Source organism: Homo sapiens, chromosome 5, assembly GCF_000001405.40.
Source record: "Homo sapiens chromosome 5, GRCh38.p14 Primary Assembly".
NCBI lineage: Eukaryota > Metazoa > Chordata > Mammalia > Primates > Hominidae > Homo > Homo sapiens.
The window spans coordinates 81,361,016-81,376,126 of NC_000005.10; the positions used below are offsets into that span (position 1 = coordinate 81,361,016).

At 39.9% G+C, this 15,111-nt stretch overlaps 1 protein-coding gene across 5 annotated transcripts in view; it reads right to left on the bottom strand.

Moving 5' to 3' along the window:
* ACOT12 (acyl-CoA thioesterase 12) overlaps positions 1–15,111 on the bottom strand; it is an 85,526-nt gene that overhangs the window by 52,407 nt on the left and 18,008 nt on the right. For 4 of the 5 annotated variants that reach the window (XM_017009046.2, XM_017009045.2, NM_130767.3 and 1 more), the window contains exons 3-4: positions 10,735–10,795; positions 2,773–2,874 (exon numbers count right to left, since the gene is read on the bottom strand). In XM_017009046.2, the coding sequence (XP_016864535.1) occupies positions 2,773–2,874; positions 10,735–10,795 (163 nt within the window). The remainder of the gene's footprint in view (positions 1–2,772; positions 2,875–10,734; positions 10,796–15,111) is intronic. The other variant, XM_017009047.2, reaches the window with a different exon arrangement.

The following is a 15,111-nucleotide window of genomic DNA, read 5'->3' on the forward strand; positions in this document are numbered from 1 at the left end:
TGCAGTGAGCCAAGATCATGCCACTGCACTCCAGCCTGGGAGACAGAGTGAGACTCCATCTCAAAAAAAAAAAAAAAAAAAAAAGAAATAAGAAATAAGCTGGTGATTTATAATATGCTGCTTAAAGTCCAAAACTGCCCTGGACTACCTTGTGGAATTTGGTTAGGAATGTGTAGATTGATGGCATGCACTGGTTTAACTCCTTTTTTTTTTTTGAAACAGGGTCTCACTCTGTTGCCCAGGCTGGAGCACAGTGGTGTAATCATAGCTTCCTGTAACCTCAAACTCTTGGGCTCAAGGGATCCTCTCAGTAGGATTGCAGGCAAACGTCACTATGCCTGGCTAATTTTTTTATATTTATTTTTTGTAGAGATGAGGGCTCACTATGTTGCCCAGGCTGGTCTCAAACTTCTGGCCTCAAGCAATCCTTCCTTCTCAGCCTCCCAAAGCACTCAGATTATAAGTGTGAGCCACTGCACCCAGCCTGATTTAACAATTTTTGTAGTGTTGTTTTAGTTGTGTGACTAGCAGGGTATACAAGACTGCTTGGTAAACTTGTGTGTTGGTTCTCCTGAAACCAAGATACCTCGCATATGTTTTGGTGATTTCTGTTCTGCAGAAGTACATCTTGTGTTACTAAGGCCCCAGCAGCATGGCTGTGCCTGGAGACCTCCACCCTCTCTGAGGCTGGCCTGTGCTTGCTTTCTCCCTCCGCACCATCTGCTTTAGCTTAGTAAGGCTTTGCATGAGTGTACCCTGTGGAGTCTTGCAAGTCCCTTCAATGATCTGGCCTGTGCAATTGTTGAACTAAGTCTGGTTAATCATTGCCAATTTCTTTTTTGTTTTTTAATCAGGGTACATTATGCTTTGAACCAACTTCATCCTAAAATAAACTCACTGTGAACAGAAATTCAAGTAGTCCTATGGGTTCAAACCAAACCACTGATTTTTCATGGGTCTCTTTGTGATGAGCTGCTGAACCAGCATATTAGCAACTAGGAAATAAGTTAGTCTGGAAAGGTGCTTTACAATTAAGGTTATCTGAACCAACCAATTATGTTAGCACCATAATGGATCTGATTTTCCACTTTCAGAACCCAGTTCTCCAGTCTCAAGAGAGATTGGACTGAAGTGTGACTATTATATTCTTTTTTTTTTTTTTTTTTTGAGACGGAGTTTTGCTCTTGTTGCCCAGGCTGGAGTGCAATGGCACAATCTTGGCTCACCGCAACTTCTGCCTCCCAGGTTCAAGTGAGTCTCCTGTCTCAGCTTCCCAAGTAGCTGGGATTATAGGCATGCACCACCACGCCCAGTTAATTTTTGTATTTTTAGTAGAGAGGGGGTTTCTCCATGTTGGCCAGGCTGGTCTTGAACTCCTGACCTCAGGTGATCCACCCGCCTCAGCCTCCCAAATTGCTGGGATTACAGGCATGAGCCACCATGCTCGGCCGACTATTATATTCTTATTCCACACGTCCATGAAGTTGGAGGGAGAAGTCTGAGGCTGGAGGGGGAATATGACGGTCTTCCTCTGCTGCCCCTCGCAAAGGAATGGGATTGCAAGGTGTATTCCTTTGTCACTTGCGCTCAGATACGGGCACCTGCACCCATCCCCTATTCTCTCACTTCCAAGAGTCTGGAGATTTGTGGGGATGCCAGGAAAAACAGAATGGTTGGGAAGACTATCTCAGTGTCTCAGATTTTAGTGAACACAGGCTCCGTGGGATGCTTTGGCAAAGTACAGATTCCAAGATTCCACACTAGTGATTCTAATTTAGTAGGTCCATGATATGGCCCAGAAAACTGCATTTTAAAAAATAGAATTAGCTGATATGAACTTCCATTTGAAAAATAACACCCTTGGGCAATATGAATTTGCCTTGCAACATGTTTAATGTTAGACTGAGAGTGCAGGCCAGGCTCCATAGCTCACACCTCAGAACTTTGGGAGATCAAGGCAGGCAGATCACCTGTGGTCAGGAGCTTGAGACCAACCTGACCAACATGACTCCTCCTTGCTTCAGAGTAGAGCTAGGAGAAGCCACTGTGTCTAGCTCTGGGATGATCCTTGGAGTGAAAGACTCATATTCCAGATTGAATTATCACAGTGTTTAGACTAAATGGGACCCTCCTCCAGGCACCCTGACACTGAAAAAAAAAAGCCAAGAAATTGTAAGGAGCAAATCTCCAGCAGCCTCCAGATGAGTGGATCTGGATCGTGTCCAGGCAGCCGGCTAGGCAAGCTCATCAGGCCAAAGTATCACTTCGGAGGGTGTTTTCACCCCACATGCCCAGAAGCTTATTTTTAAACTTCAATAACTCAGCAATGTTGACAGTTTTCCTTCAGGTATTAACAGTGGTTAATCTATAACATGCAACTGCTTGCTAAATTGCTCTTGCTTTTTTAAAAAAAGATTTTATTTTAAGTCAATTTTGAGTTATATGACCACAAATGAAAAGCACTAAACCAGTAGGCAGTATTTTAAAGAAACCAATATGACCTTCAGATCATTTAAAACAATGTGGATTTTTTTTTGTATTTTACAAACTTTCTATATCGTCTTTTCTCTAAGGTACTTTTCTGTAAAGTTCCTATTCCTCTGATGTTACCACAGAGTGATAACTTTTGCAATAAATATTGGTGAATAACAAATCTTGGGGAAGTATATCTCATGGAAAGAAGAAGTGTCATTTTTTTCTATAACATTCTGATGCAATTGTTACTATGTCCCTGAATTACATGCTAGATACATCTTCACATACAAAATTTACCTTTTCTTTTCCAACTGGTTTGGCTACAAATGTGGAGAAAGCCACACTAACAAGCTTCTCAATGCCAGTGAGCATATCCTGTACCATGACCTTGATACTGATCTAAAATGAAAAAAAGATAAATAAATACACTCTTGGCCAGTTCAGATTTCAGCATTCAAAATTTAGTCATATGTATGCACCATTACCTTCTTTCATTTTAAAAATGAAACCAGAATTTTAATTTATTTTTAAGCAATAGAATTATTTCAATGATGTTCTATAACACTGGACAATTAGCTTTTTTCTGATTATAAAAATTATTTATTTACCATGTCAAATTTATGGAATCTGACTATCCAGAGTATATATTATCAGTAATCCCATCACCCAGAGATAATAATTATTAAATTTTAGGTGAATTTTCTTCTAGCTTTTTCTATATATCATATATGATATATAAGTGTATATGATATATATGATGTCATATATGATATATAATATATACACATACATATCACATAATACATACACATATATAATATCATATTACATAATATATACACACATTTTATATTACATACATATGACATGAAATACGTGTGTGTATATATGCATGTGTATATAAAATTATTGTAATGTATTTACAGTTTTATGTTCTAATTTTTTTTTTTTGTTTTGAGACGGAGTCTTGCTCTGTTGCCAGGCTGGAGTGCAGTGGCACGATCTTGGCTCACTGCAACCTCCACCTCCCGGGTTCAAGCCATTCTCTTGCCTCAGCCTCCGGAGTAGCTGGGACTACAGGCACGCAGCACTACACCCAGCTAATTTTTTGTATTTTTAGTACAGACAAGATTTCACCATGTTGGCCAGGATGGTCTCGATCTCATGACCTCATGATCCACCCACTTCGGCCTCCCAAAGTGCTGGGATTACAGGGGTGAGCCACTGCACCTGGCCTGTTCCAATTTTTAAAAATTTGGCATTATATGAAAGCTCTTTTAAATTTCATGATTACTAAATATGCTTTTGAAAACAAGATATTGGTGTCTGCCTTATAAAACCACCAGAGAGATGTACCATAACTTTTTTTAGCCTTTACTCTCAGAGTTTTTTTTCCTTTTTTTAAATGTCTCTAGGCAGCATAGTCTCAGAGTTTCATAACCAAGCTAACACGGACAGAATTGCATCATGTATTTACAGCTTTGTTTCTGTGATTAATTTTTCAGGAGTAATAAGAAGGTAGCTGAGACACTTTATGTTGATACTAAAATGGGCTAGATTTCCCCCTGTGTGAAGAGCGCTGAAGCTTGGTCCTCAGGATTGCACTTCGCAGAAGTGTTGGTAAACTCAGGTACTTGTCTTTAGATTCTGGCTAATAAACCTTTTCCCTACATATTTCAGATGAGTAATACTATCTTCTGAAAATAATGAGCTATCTCAGGCACAGCTCAGCACTATGTTATCAACGATAAAGAATATCCGTATCTGTATCTTTACTGTGTACACCATGTAAAAAGAATAATCAATAATCTATGACTCATTTTAAGTCACTCAATTCATAAATGCAAATTAGTATTTACATGGTAAATCCTAAATTAACTAGATGATGATTAGCCAAAATTAAACTATCTATTCCCAACTCTCAACCCTCAATCCCACACAGCTTTCTGCTTTTAGAGAAATGGACAAATGAAAAATAAAATAAAATACCTAACAGTAAAAACAAAGCAACAATTCTGGAGTGTTAAAATAAGTTCTAAACACTGTCTTCTACTAGAAGAGTTAACTTAGTTATATGTGATTACCAAATGTTTCAAAAACATATGCCAGGGAGAATTTCATTGTGTTATAAGAGATTAGGTAAGATTGGAATTACATCCTGTGAAAACAACTAGAAAACTGGACAAAATATAGGAAGCATCTACTTTCACACCTACGAAAATAGGCAACACAGGACTGTGATCCCCAAGGCGGGAAAAACAACGAGAGCACTGCGTTCCCAGGTTCTCAGGCTGAAGGTAATTTACGGTTAGGTTAGAGAAGAAAAACCTAACTCTGCTGAATTGAATGGAGCTAAAATTTGTGGGTTAGAGTACCAGAGAAGGAAACTAAAAAAAAAGAGAAAGAATTCCAGAAATATGCCTGTGAGTCTTTGGGTTGATACTAACTGGACCATATACAGGGTGAAACCCCAGACAAGAACAGCTTCTGAGGAACAAGCAATTCCTGGGAAACTGTAACATGGACAATTCCAAGAACTCACACACAGCTGGGGATCTTTTGAGTTCTCTCCAGCCAGATTTCACTGAATATATAACACCTTCATAGACATAACAGAAGATCCCAACTTAGAAGAGGGGCTAAAGTAGCCCTAAAGTAGAGTATTCTAAATCTTCCATAGAAGAGTTTAAAACGTATCTTTAAAGGCTCAAACCAATCTGCAAGTAACAACATCTTCCTGCCAGGAAAAGTCTGACACTCTTTTTAAAGAAATATAACAAAAGCCAGCACTAAACAATATAAAATTCACAATGTTCAGCATCGAGTAAAAAATATTAGATGCAAGAAAATTATTAGGTGAAAGGTAATATAAATAAAACAACAGATAACAGAAATGATGGAATAACAACAAAGGATACTAAAACAACAATTAAATATAAGCACCATGAACTCAGAGATTTGGAAAAGGAGTCAGCAATATCTTCTTAAAGGATAAGGCCAGATAGTAAATATTTTAAGTTTTGTGGTCACATGGACTCTATTGCCACTACTCAACTCTGTCAATGTACTGTGATAGCAAACACAGACAAAACATAAATTAATGGGTGTACTACAAAAAATTTTTATTCATAAAAACAGGTCTATAGGCCATAGTTTGCTGACTCCTAATATAGAGAAAAAGATGAAAATAATGAGGAAAGAACGGAAAATATAAAAAAATCAAAGTGGACTTTCTAAGGTAAAAAAATACAACATCTGAAATAAAAAACAAACCAGATAAGATTAACAGCAGTTTAGTTAATGCAGGGGAAAAAGTCAGTGAAGCTGAAGATGACAAAAGAAGCTACACAGAATGTAGCATGAAGAGAAAGGAAGACTGAAAGAAGAAAAACGAACAGTATCAGTGACCCGTGGAACACTAACAAGAAGTCTAAAACTCTATAAAGTCCAAAAGGAGAGAGAGCACAAAAGACAGGAAAAAAGTTTGAAGATATAATAGCTGAAAAAATCCACATTTCTTAGAAACTATAAATCCATAGATCCAGTAGCTCTAGAAACCCAAGCCATATCATAATTTACATAAGTCTGCTGCCAGGCTAGAATTCTATACCTACTGAATATGAGCATCTTTTAAATATGAAGATGAAACAAACACATTTTTACACGAACAAAAGCTGAAAAAGAAATGCTAAAGGAATATCTTCAGACAGAAGGAAAATGACACTAGGGAGACATCTGGAGATACACAATACGCAAAAGAATAAAGAACACCAGAAATGGCAAATATGTGGGTATATATATAAAATACTTCTTTTCATTTCTATTCTTTTTAAAAGATGATTGACTGTTTAAAACATAAATAATAACTATGTATTGTAGGGTTTACCTCCTACATATGTGCATGTAAAAGGCATGACAATAACGGCACAAAGGCTGGGACATGGGAAGGGAAGTGTGTGTACTGTTATAAGGTTATTACACTATACTCAAAGGGATATTATATTATTCGAAGGTAGTCTCAGATAAGTTAAGTAGTCATATTGCAAACCCGAGAAAAACATTAAAACCAAAACAAATATGTATAGTTAAAACACCAACAGTGGAGATAAAATGGATTACTAAAAATTACTCTGCTCTAAAAAATGCAGGAAAAGATGGGGACAGGAAGAAACAAAGAACAGATGGAAGAAATAGAAGACAAACAGCCAGATGATAGATTTCAACTCTACCATATAGATAATCAAATGTAAATAGTTTAAATACTCCAGGTAGAAGGCAGAGATTGTTAGAATAAATAAAAAAATAGCATCCAAATATATTCTGTTTATAAGAAACCCACTTACATGTACAAAAAGACAGGTTAAGAGAAAAATGATGGGGAAAAAAACACTAAACCAAAGAAAGCTTGTCTGGCTAAATTAATGTCAGACAAAGTAGATTTTAAAACAAAAACCAGAGATAAAAAGGCAAACTTCATAATGATAAAAGGGTCACAACATCAGGAAGAGTTAAGAATCCTGGCAGGGCACGGTGGCTCATGCCTGTAATCCCAGCACTTTGGGAGGCCAAGGTGAACAGATCACCTGAGGTCAGGAGTTCAAGACCAGCCTGGCCAACATGGTGAAATCCTTTCTCTACTAAAAATACAAAAATTAGCTGGGCGTGGTGGTGCACATGTGTAATCCCAGCTATTTGAGAGGCTGAGGCAAGAGAATCACTTGAACCCGGGAGGCGGAGCTTGCAGGGAGCCAAGATCGCACCACCGCACTACAGCCTGGGAGACAGTTCAAGACTCCATCTCAAAAAATAATAATAATAATAATACAGAAGACTTGAACAACACTGTGAACCAAGTTAGGCTAACTGACATCTGCAGAATACTTCATTGACTATAAGCAACACATTCTTTTCAAGCACATATAGAACATTCACCAAAATAGTCCATATTTTGGGTCATTAAAAAAGTCTAAATAAATTTAAAATAATTGAAATTATACAAATTATGTTCTCTCTCTGCAAAGGAATTAAATTATAAATCAAAAACATAAAGATGTATCTGGAAAAATCATCAGAGATTTGGAAATTAAACAACACACATCTAGACAGACTAGAGGTCAGGGAAGAATTTACAAGAAAAAAAGGACATATTTTGATGCAGGTAAAGCAATATATTGAAGAAAATTTTACGATCTTAAATGCTTATATTTGAAAAAAAGAAAAGTTTAATCAATTTCCCAAGATTCTACCTTAAGACACTAGAAAAAGAAAGGCAAATTAAACCCAAAATAAATAGAATGAGAATAATATAATAACCAACAGCAGAAATCAAATATATTATGCTAAGTAAAATAAATTAGACACAAAAATTATATATACTATATCATTCCATTTATACAAAATACAGTAAAGGGCAAAAAAGAAAAAAAAAAGGGTACTGACCTGAAGTAAATGAGTGGTTGTCACAAGCTGGGGTCTGAGAGAGCTGATTGCAAAGGGGCATAAAGGGGCTTCGTGTAGTGATGGGAACGTTGTATATTACAGTGGTGGTGATCCAACTGTATAACTTTGTCAAAGCTCAGCAAAATGTATACTTAAAATGGGAGAATTTTAATGTTGTAAATTATATCTCAATAAAACTGATTCTTAAAGACATATTCTAAGGACAAAAAAAAAAAAACTCACACTCATATAATGTGCTCTTAGTGCAAATGAGACAATATCATCTATTAATAGTAATGCATCACACACCTTCCAGAGGTGGGAAGAGGGAAGAGACTGATCAGTAGAGTCTGAGAATCCCCTGGAAGTAGGTTTGGCACAGAGCAGAGTTCCTGCTTGCTTTGGATTCAGGGAGAAGTCAGTCATTTATTTCTGCTCAGCAAATTAGCAGAGGGCTGGCCTCAGTTGTGGCAGGAAACTGAAATTGAACAGGAAGACGCTAAAGGACATGTCCAGTTTGAAAAAGTAAAAATAAAAATGTTTAGTTGGCATCTATATTTAAGGAAAAAAATCCAAGAAATTTCTACCAGGTGGTAGAAAGTATGACAAAATTTAGAGGCTGCCTGGTCATGATTTGCAGAAGATGAAAGAGAACAAAATTCTGCACGGCGGATCAGGCCTGGAAAGTCAGTGGAGGCTAGGGTTTACTTTCCCCAGCATCAGAAATCTGTGGTTTCAAACTCACTGGGTTTTACTTTTGTTTTCTTAGCTTTTAGATAAGCCTCCTTTAGAAATTCTAGCCTGTCTTAGGGAAGAGGAGGAAAAGGAGAAATGTAAAGGAGGTTTTATCTATATTTGGACTGTCTATCAGGAGAATGTGTGGCCCTCAGGAGACAGGCCAAGCCCAGAGGCTCCTGTGTGCAAAGGCTAAGAGCCCCACAGTTGAATAAACGCTCCAGAAACACCATTTGCTGACAGAGCTTGTTTTCTTCACGACATTTCCTTTCTGCTTTCTTCAAGTGCTTTGTATTCTGCTTATTTGGATACTGCTAGAAAGTGAACACATCAGCCAGGCACAGTAGCTCACGCCTGTGATCGATCCTAGCACTTTGGGAGGCCAAGGTGGGCAGATCATGAGGTCAGAAGATTGAGATCATCCTGGCCAACATGGTGAAACCCCATCTCTACTAAAAATACAAAAATTAGTGGTGGCATGCACCTGTAATCCCAGCTACTCGGGAGGCTGAGGCAGGAGAATCACTTGAACCCAGGAGGCGGAGGTTGCCGTGAGCCGAGATCTTGCCATTGCACTCCAGCCTGGCAACAGAGTGAGGCTCTGTCTCAAAAACAAAAGCAAAAACAAAAAAAAAGAAAGTGACCACATCAGGGTAAAGCCACCACCAATGGCATGGTTACTGTCAAAACAGTTGTTATAACTGAACTGTGTTCCCCCTTCCAAATTCTTATGTCCTAACCCCCAGTACCTTAGAATGTAAATGTGGAAATAGCACTGTTGCAGATGTAATTAGTTAAGATGAGGCCAGACTGCGGTGGGGCAGGCCCCTAATCCAATATGACCGATATCTTTATAAAAAGGGGAAATTTGGAAGCAGACACCCACACAAGGAGAACACGTGAAGATGAAGGCAGAGATCGGGTGATGCAGTGGAAGCCAAGAAATACCAAAGACTACAGAGAGCCATGGGAGGGTAGGAGAGCAGCATGAACAGATTATCCCTCCAGCCCTCAGAGAAACCATCCTTGCCCATATTTTGATGTAGGACTTCTAGCTCCCAGAACCGTGGGACACTACTTTTCTGTGTTTAGGCCACCCAGTCTGTGGTGCTTTGTTACGGCAGCCCTAACAAATGAATACAAACTCTTCCATGTCTTCATGCCCAGAGATTGAAGGGACTGATCCTGAGCAACCTGGGAGGTACAATATGAGATCCAGCAACTCCTTTCCTGCTAATTTAACCTGAATGGAGATCTCAAGAGCCCCTGAGAATCCAGTATTCACAATGGTAGAGAAAATAAAATCAAGTGGATGCAGAATAAAAATCTTCTAAATTTACCTTCTTACTAAAGTCCAGTTATCCTGCTTTTAAAAAACTAGTTAATCATGGGACTAGTTTCTGTCAGAGGTTGAGGGGATGGAGAACAAACAGAATTAGAATAATAGTAGAGTCAGCATAATTAAGAAATAAAAACCATGCTTTATAAAGAATTAAGACTGTCCTTTTCTCTTGCAGGTTTACTTTCTGTATATCCTTCTATGTAGAAATAGTGTACTGTATCATGTTTAAATGTGTTGGTTTTTTTTGTTGTTGTTGTTTCTTAAGAGACAAAGTCTTGCTATGTCACCCAGGCTGGAATGTTGTGGTACAATCAAAGCTCATTGTAGCCTCAAACTCCTGGGCTCAAGCAATCCGCCCACCTCCGTCTCCTGAGTACCCAGGGCTACAGGCACTTACCACTGTGCTGGCTAATTTTTTTTTTTCTTCTTAAAGATTGGGTCTTGCTATCTTGCCCAGGCTGGTGTGGAACTCCTGGTCTCAAGTGATCTTCCTGTCTCAGCCTCTCAAAGTGCTGGGATTATAGGTGTGAGCTACCATGCCTGGCCATGTTGAATTTTAGCTGGGAAACAGTGGAAACATCTGCTGCTTATTATTTACCTGTGACCTGACTACACATTCCAGAGCCTTCTGAAATAGAGAATCTCACTAACTCCAAATATTAGTCTAGGCCTCCTGCTCTACCCTTTGTAAACAATGAAGAAGTGAGCACCAACAGGCAGATGTTTGAAAAGGTGCCTCTTACCTCCATGCTTGTGCTGAATGCTCTAGTAACTTTTGCTTTGATGGTTATAACTTGTCCAACTCTAGGGAAAAACAAACAAAAAAACCTCAGTAGTTTTAGCACATTTCATTTCAGATAAGACTTAAAGATTACTTAAATGCATGCCATAAAGCAGTTCCACCTTATCATGCTGATAATTTTCATGCATGCGAAATTCAGGTTAATGATAATGGAAAAAGACAACACTTAAAAACAAAGGCCGATAACTGTAAACCACACTTATGGTGTTAGCGGACCACCAATATTTAAACAGAAAAGAGACTTTGCAGAGATAGTGTGCGACATGACTCCAAATCGGCAACACATACTGACTATACAGCAGCTGTTTCCCCAAGAGAAGTTAAGGAAAATACACCAGCAAATCTATACAGCTGGTATTTATTTTTGAATGTTAGTTAATACATAAATGGACAAATATACAAAAAGGCAAGCAAGCAAACTGATCAGCTTCAGTAGGTTTGTATGGGCCCTCAATGATGCTAGGTGGTCTACTCACTTCCTACTATTATTGAAACTTCGATCATGTAACCTGAAGTTGTTCCAAAACTTTTGTATTCAGGCCCTTCAGTCAGCTCTAATTCCTTCCCCTTAGCAGAAGGTAAGAGGTAACCCAATAGAAGCCCCCTGGATTTTTCTTCCTTAACTTCAATGTTAAACTGCATTTGCACCTTTCTCTTTGCTCTTCTGTTTCAGGGAAAGAGGGATCTCTTGAGACCTAATCTCTTTCTTTACCTGTGCCATTGGTCCCATCCTCCAGTGGCCCTGTCCCCTCCCTTGTTGGCTCTGCCTCATCAGCTCTGTTCTCTTTTCTGCCTTCAATCTCTGCCTCTTCCCTGAATCTCCATCAGTCTATGACAATGCTCAAAGCTTCTCCTTTCTAAAATTTTTCTCTCAAACCTATTCTATCTCAAGTTGCTTTTCTTTTCTTCAATTCAAACTTCCTAAAAACATCGTTTATTTTTCTGACTTATACATTTCACTAATGTTTACTGAGTTAATTGGCATTTTACTGAGTAGTCCTGGCATTAAGCCAGGTCTAAAGATACAGTGATGAATAAGACAAAACTACTGACTTCAAGGAGACCAATCTTTCCTTGGGATGCTGGGATGTAAATAGATAAAGCCCAAAAGATTACCAAGGAATTATTGATAATTCATTAACAATAAAAAATCCCTGTCATTAATTAAATGAAATTTAATGTTTCTCAGTGTGGCCATACTAATAACAATGACTACTCTCTACTGAATGTTGTGTGTAAATCAGGCACCATGGGATTTGCTGGCAAGATGGCCGAACAGGAGCAGCTCCAGTCTGCAGCTATCAGCGAGATCGATGCAGAAGGGGGGTGATTTTTCTGCATTTCCAAATGAGGTACCCAGTTCATCTCATTGAGACTGGTTGGACAGTGGGTGCAGCCCATGGAGGGTGAGCCGAAGCAAGGTGGGTCATCACCCTACCAGGGAAGTGCAAGGGGTCAGGGGATTTCCCTCCCCTAGCCAAGGGAAGCCATGAAGGACTGTGCTGTGAGGAATGGTGCACTCTGGCCCAGATACTGAGCTTTTCCCATGGTCTTTGCAACCCGCAGACCAGGAGATTCCCTCCGGTGCCTAGGCCATCAGGACCCTGGGTTTCAAGCACAAAACTGGGCGGCCATTTGGGGAGACACCGAGCTAGCTGCAGGAGTGTTTTTTTCATACCCCAGTGGTACCTGGAACACCAGCAAGACAAAACCATTCATTCCCCTGGAAAGGGGGCTGAAGCCAGGGAGCCGAGTGGTCTGGCTTGGCGGGTCCCACGCTCACGGAGCCCAGCAAGCCAAGATCCACTGGCTTGAAATTCTCGCTGCCAGCACAGCAGTCTGAGATCAAACTAGGATGCTCGAGCTTGGTGAGGGGAGGGGCGTCCACCATTGCTGAGGCTTGAGTAGGCAGTTTTACCCTTACAGTGTAAACAAAGCCACCAGGAAGTTCAAAGTGAGCAAAGCCCACCACAGCTCAGCAAGGCTGCTCTGGCCAGACTGCCTCTCTAGATTCCTCCTCTCTGGGCAGGGCATCTCTGAAAAAAAGGCAGCATCTCCCTGGGACAGAGCACATGGGGGAAGGGGTGGCTATGGGCGCAGCTTCAGCAGACTTAAATGTCCCTGCCTGATGGCTCTGAAGACAGCAGCAGATCTCCCAGCACAGCGTCCGAGCTCTGATAAGGGACTACACTGCCTCCTGAAGTGGGTCCCAGACCCCCGTGTATCCTGACTGGGAGACACCTCCCAGTAGGGGCCGACAGACACCTCATACAGGATAGCTCTGGCTGGCATCTGGCAGGTGCCCCTATGGGACAAAGCTTCCAGAGGAAGGAACAGGAGGGAATCTTTGCTGTTCTGCAGCCTCTGCTGGGAATACCTAGGCAAACAGGGTCTGGAGTGGGCCTCCAGCAAACTCCAGCAGACCTGCAGCAGATGGGCCTGACTGTTAGAAGGAAGACTAACAAACAGAAAGGAATAGCATCAACATCAACAAAAAGGACATCCACTCAGAGACCTCATCTGAAGGTCACCAGCATCAAAGACCAAAGGTAGATAAACCCATGAAGATGGGGAGAAAACAGCGCAAAAAGGCTGAAAATTCCAAAAACCAGAATGCCTCTTCTCCTTCAAAGGATCACAACTCCGTGCCAGGAAGGGAAAAAAACTGGATGGAGAATGAGTTTGATGAATTGACAGAAGAAGGCTTCAGAAGGTAGGTAATAACAAACTCCTCCAAGCTAAAGGAGCATGTTCTAACCCAATGAAAGGAAGCTAAGAACCTTGAAAAAAGGTTAGAGGAATTGCTAACTAGAATAACCAGTTTAGAGAGGAACATAAATGACCTGATGGAGCTGAAAAACACAGCACGAGAACTTCATGAAGCATAAACAAGTATCAATAGCTGAATCAATCAGGCAGAAGAAAGGATATCAGAGATTGAAGATCAACTTAATGAAATAAAGTGAGAAACAAGATAAGAGAGAAAAGAATGAAAATAAACAAACAAAGCCTCCAAGAAATATAGTACTATGTGAAAAGACTAAATCTACGTTGGTTTGGTATACTTGAAAGTGATGGGGAGAATGGAACCAAGTCGGAAAACACTCTTCAGGATATTATCCAGGAGAACTTCCCCAACCTAGCAAGACAGGCCAACACTCAAATTCAGGAAACACAGAGAATACCACAAAGGTACTTCTTGAGAAGAGCAACCCTAAGACACATAATTGTCAGATTCACCAAGGTTGAAATGAAGGAAAAAATGTTAAGGGCAGCCAGAGAGAAAGGTCAGGTTACCCACAAAGGGAAGCCCATCAGACTAACAGCGGATCTCTCTGCAGAAACCCTGCAAGCCAGAAGAGAGTGGCGGCCAATATTCAACATTCTTAAAGAAAAGAATTTTCAACCCGGAATTTCATATCCAGGCAAACTAAGCTTCATAAGCGAAGCAGAAATAAAATCCTTTACAGGCAGGCAAATGCTGAGAGACACTGTCACCCCCAGGGCTGCCTTACGAGAGCTCCTGAAGGAAGCACCAAACATGGAAAGGAACAACCGGTACCAGCCACTCCAAAAACATATCAAATTGTAAAGACCATTGACACTATGAGGAAACTGCATCAACTAACAGGCAAAAGAATCAGCTAGTATCATAATGACAGGATCAAATTCACACATAACAATATTAACCTTAAATGTAAACAGGCTAAATGCCCCAATTAAAAGACAGACTGGCAAATTGGATAGAGTCAAGACTTATCAGTGTGCTGTATTCAGGAGACCCATCTCCCGTGCAAAGACATACATAGGCTCAAAATAAAGGGATGGAGGAATATTTACCAAGCAAATGGAAAGAAAAAAAAAAAAGCAGGGGTTGCATCCTAGTTTCTGATAAAACAGACTTTAAACCAACAAAGATCAAAAGAGACAAAGAAGGACATTACATACTGGTAAAGGGATCAATTCAACAAGAAGAGTAACTATCCTAAATATATATGCACCCAATACAGGAGCACCCAGATTCATAGAGAAAGTTCTTAGAGACCTACAAAGAGACTTAGACTCCCACACAATAATAGTGGGAGACTTTAACACTCCACTGTCAATATTAGACAGATCAATGAGACAGAAAATTAACAAGGATATTCAGAACTTGAACTCAGCTCTGGACCAAACAGACTTAATAGACACCTACAAAACTCTCCACCCCAAATGAACAGAATATACATTCTTCTCAGCACCACAAAGTGCTTATTCTAAAATCGACCACATAATTGGAGGTAAAACACTCCTCAGCAAATGCAAAAGAACGGAAATC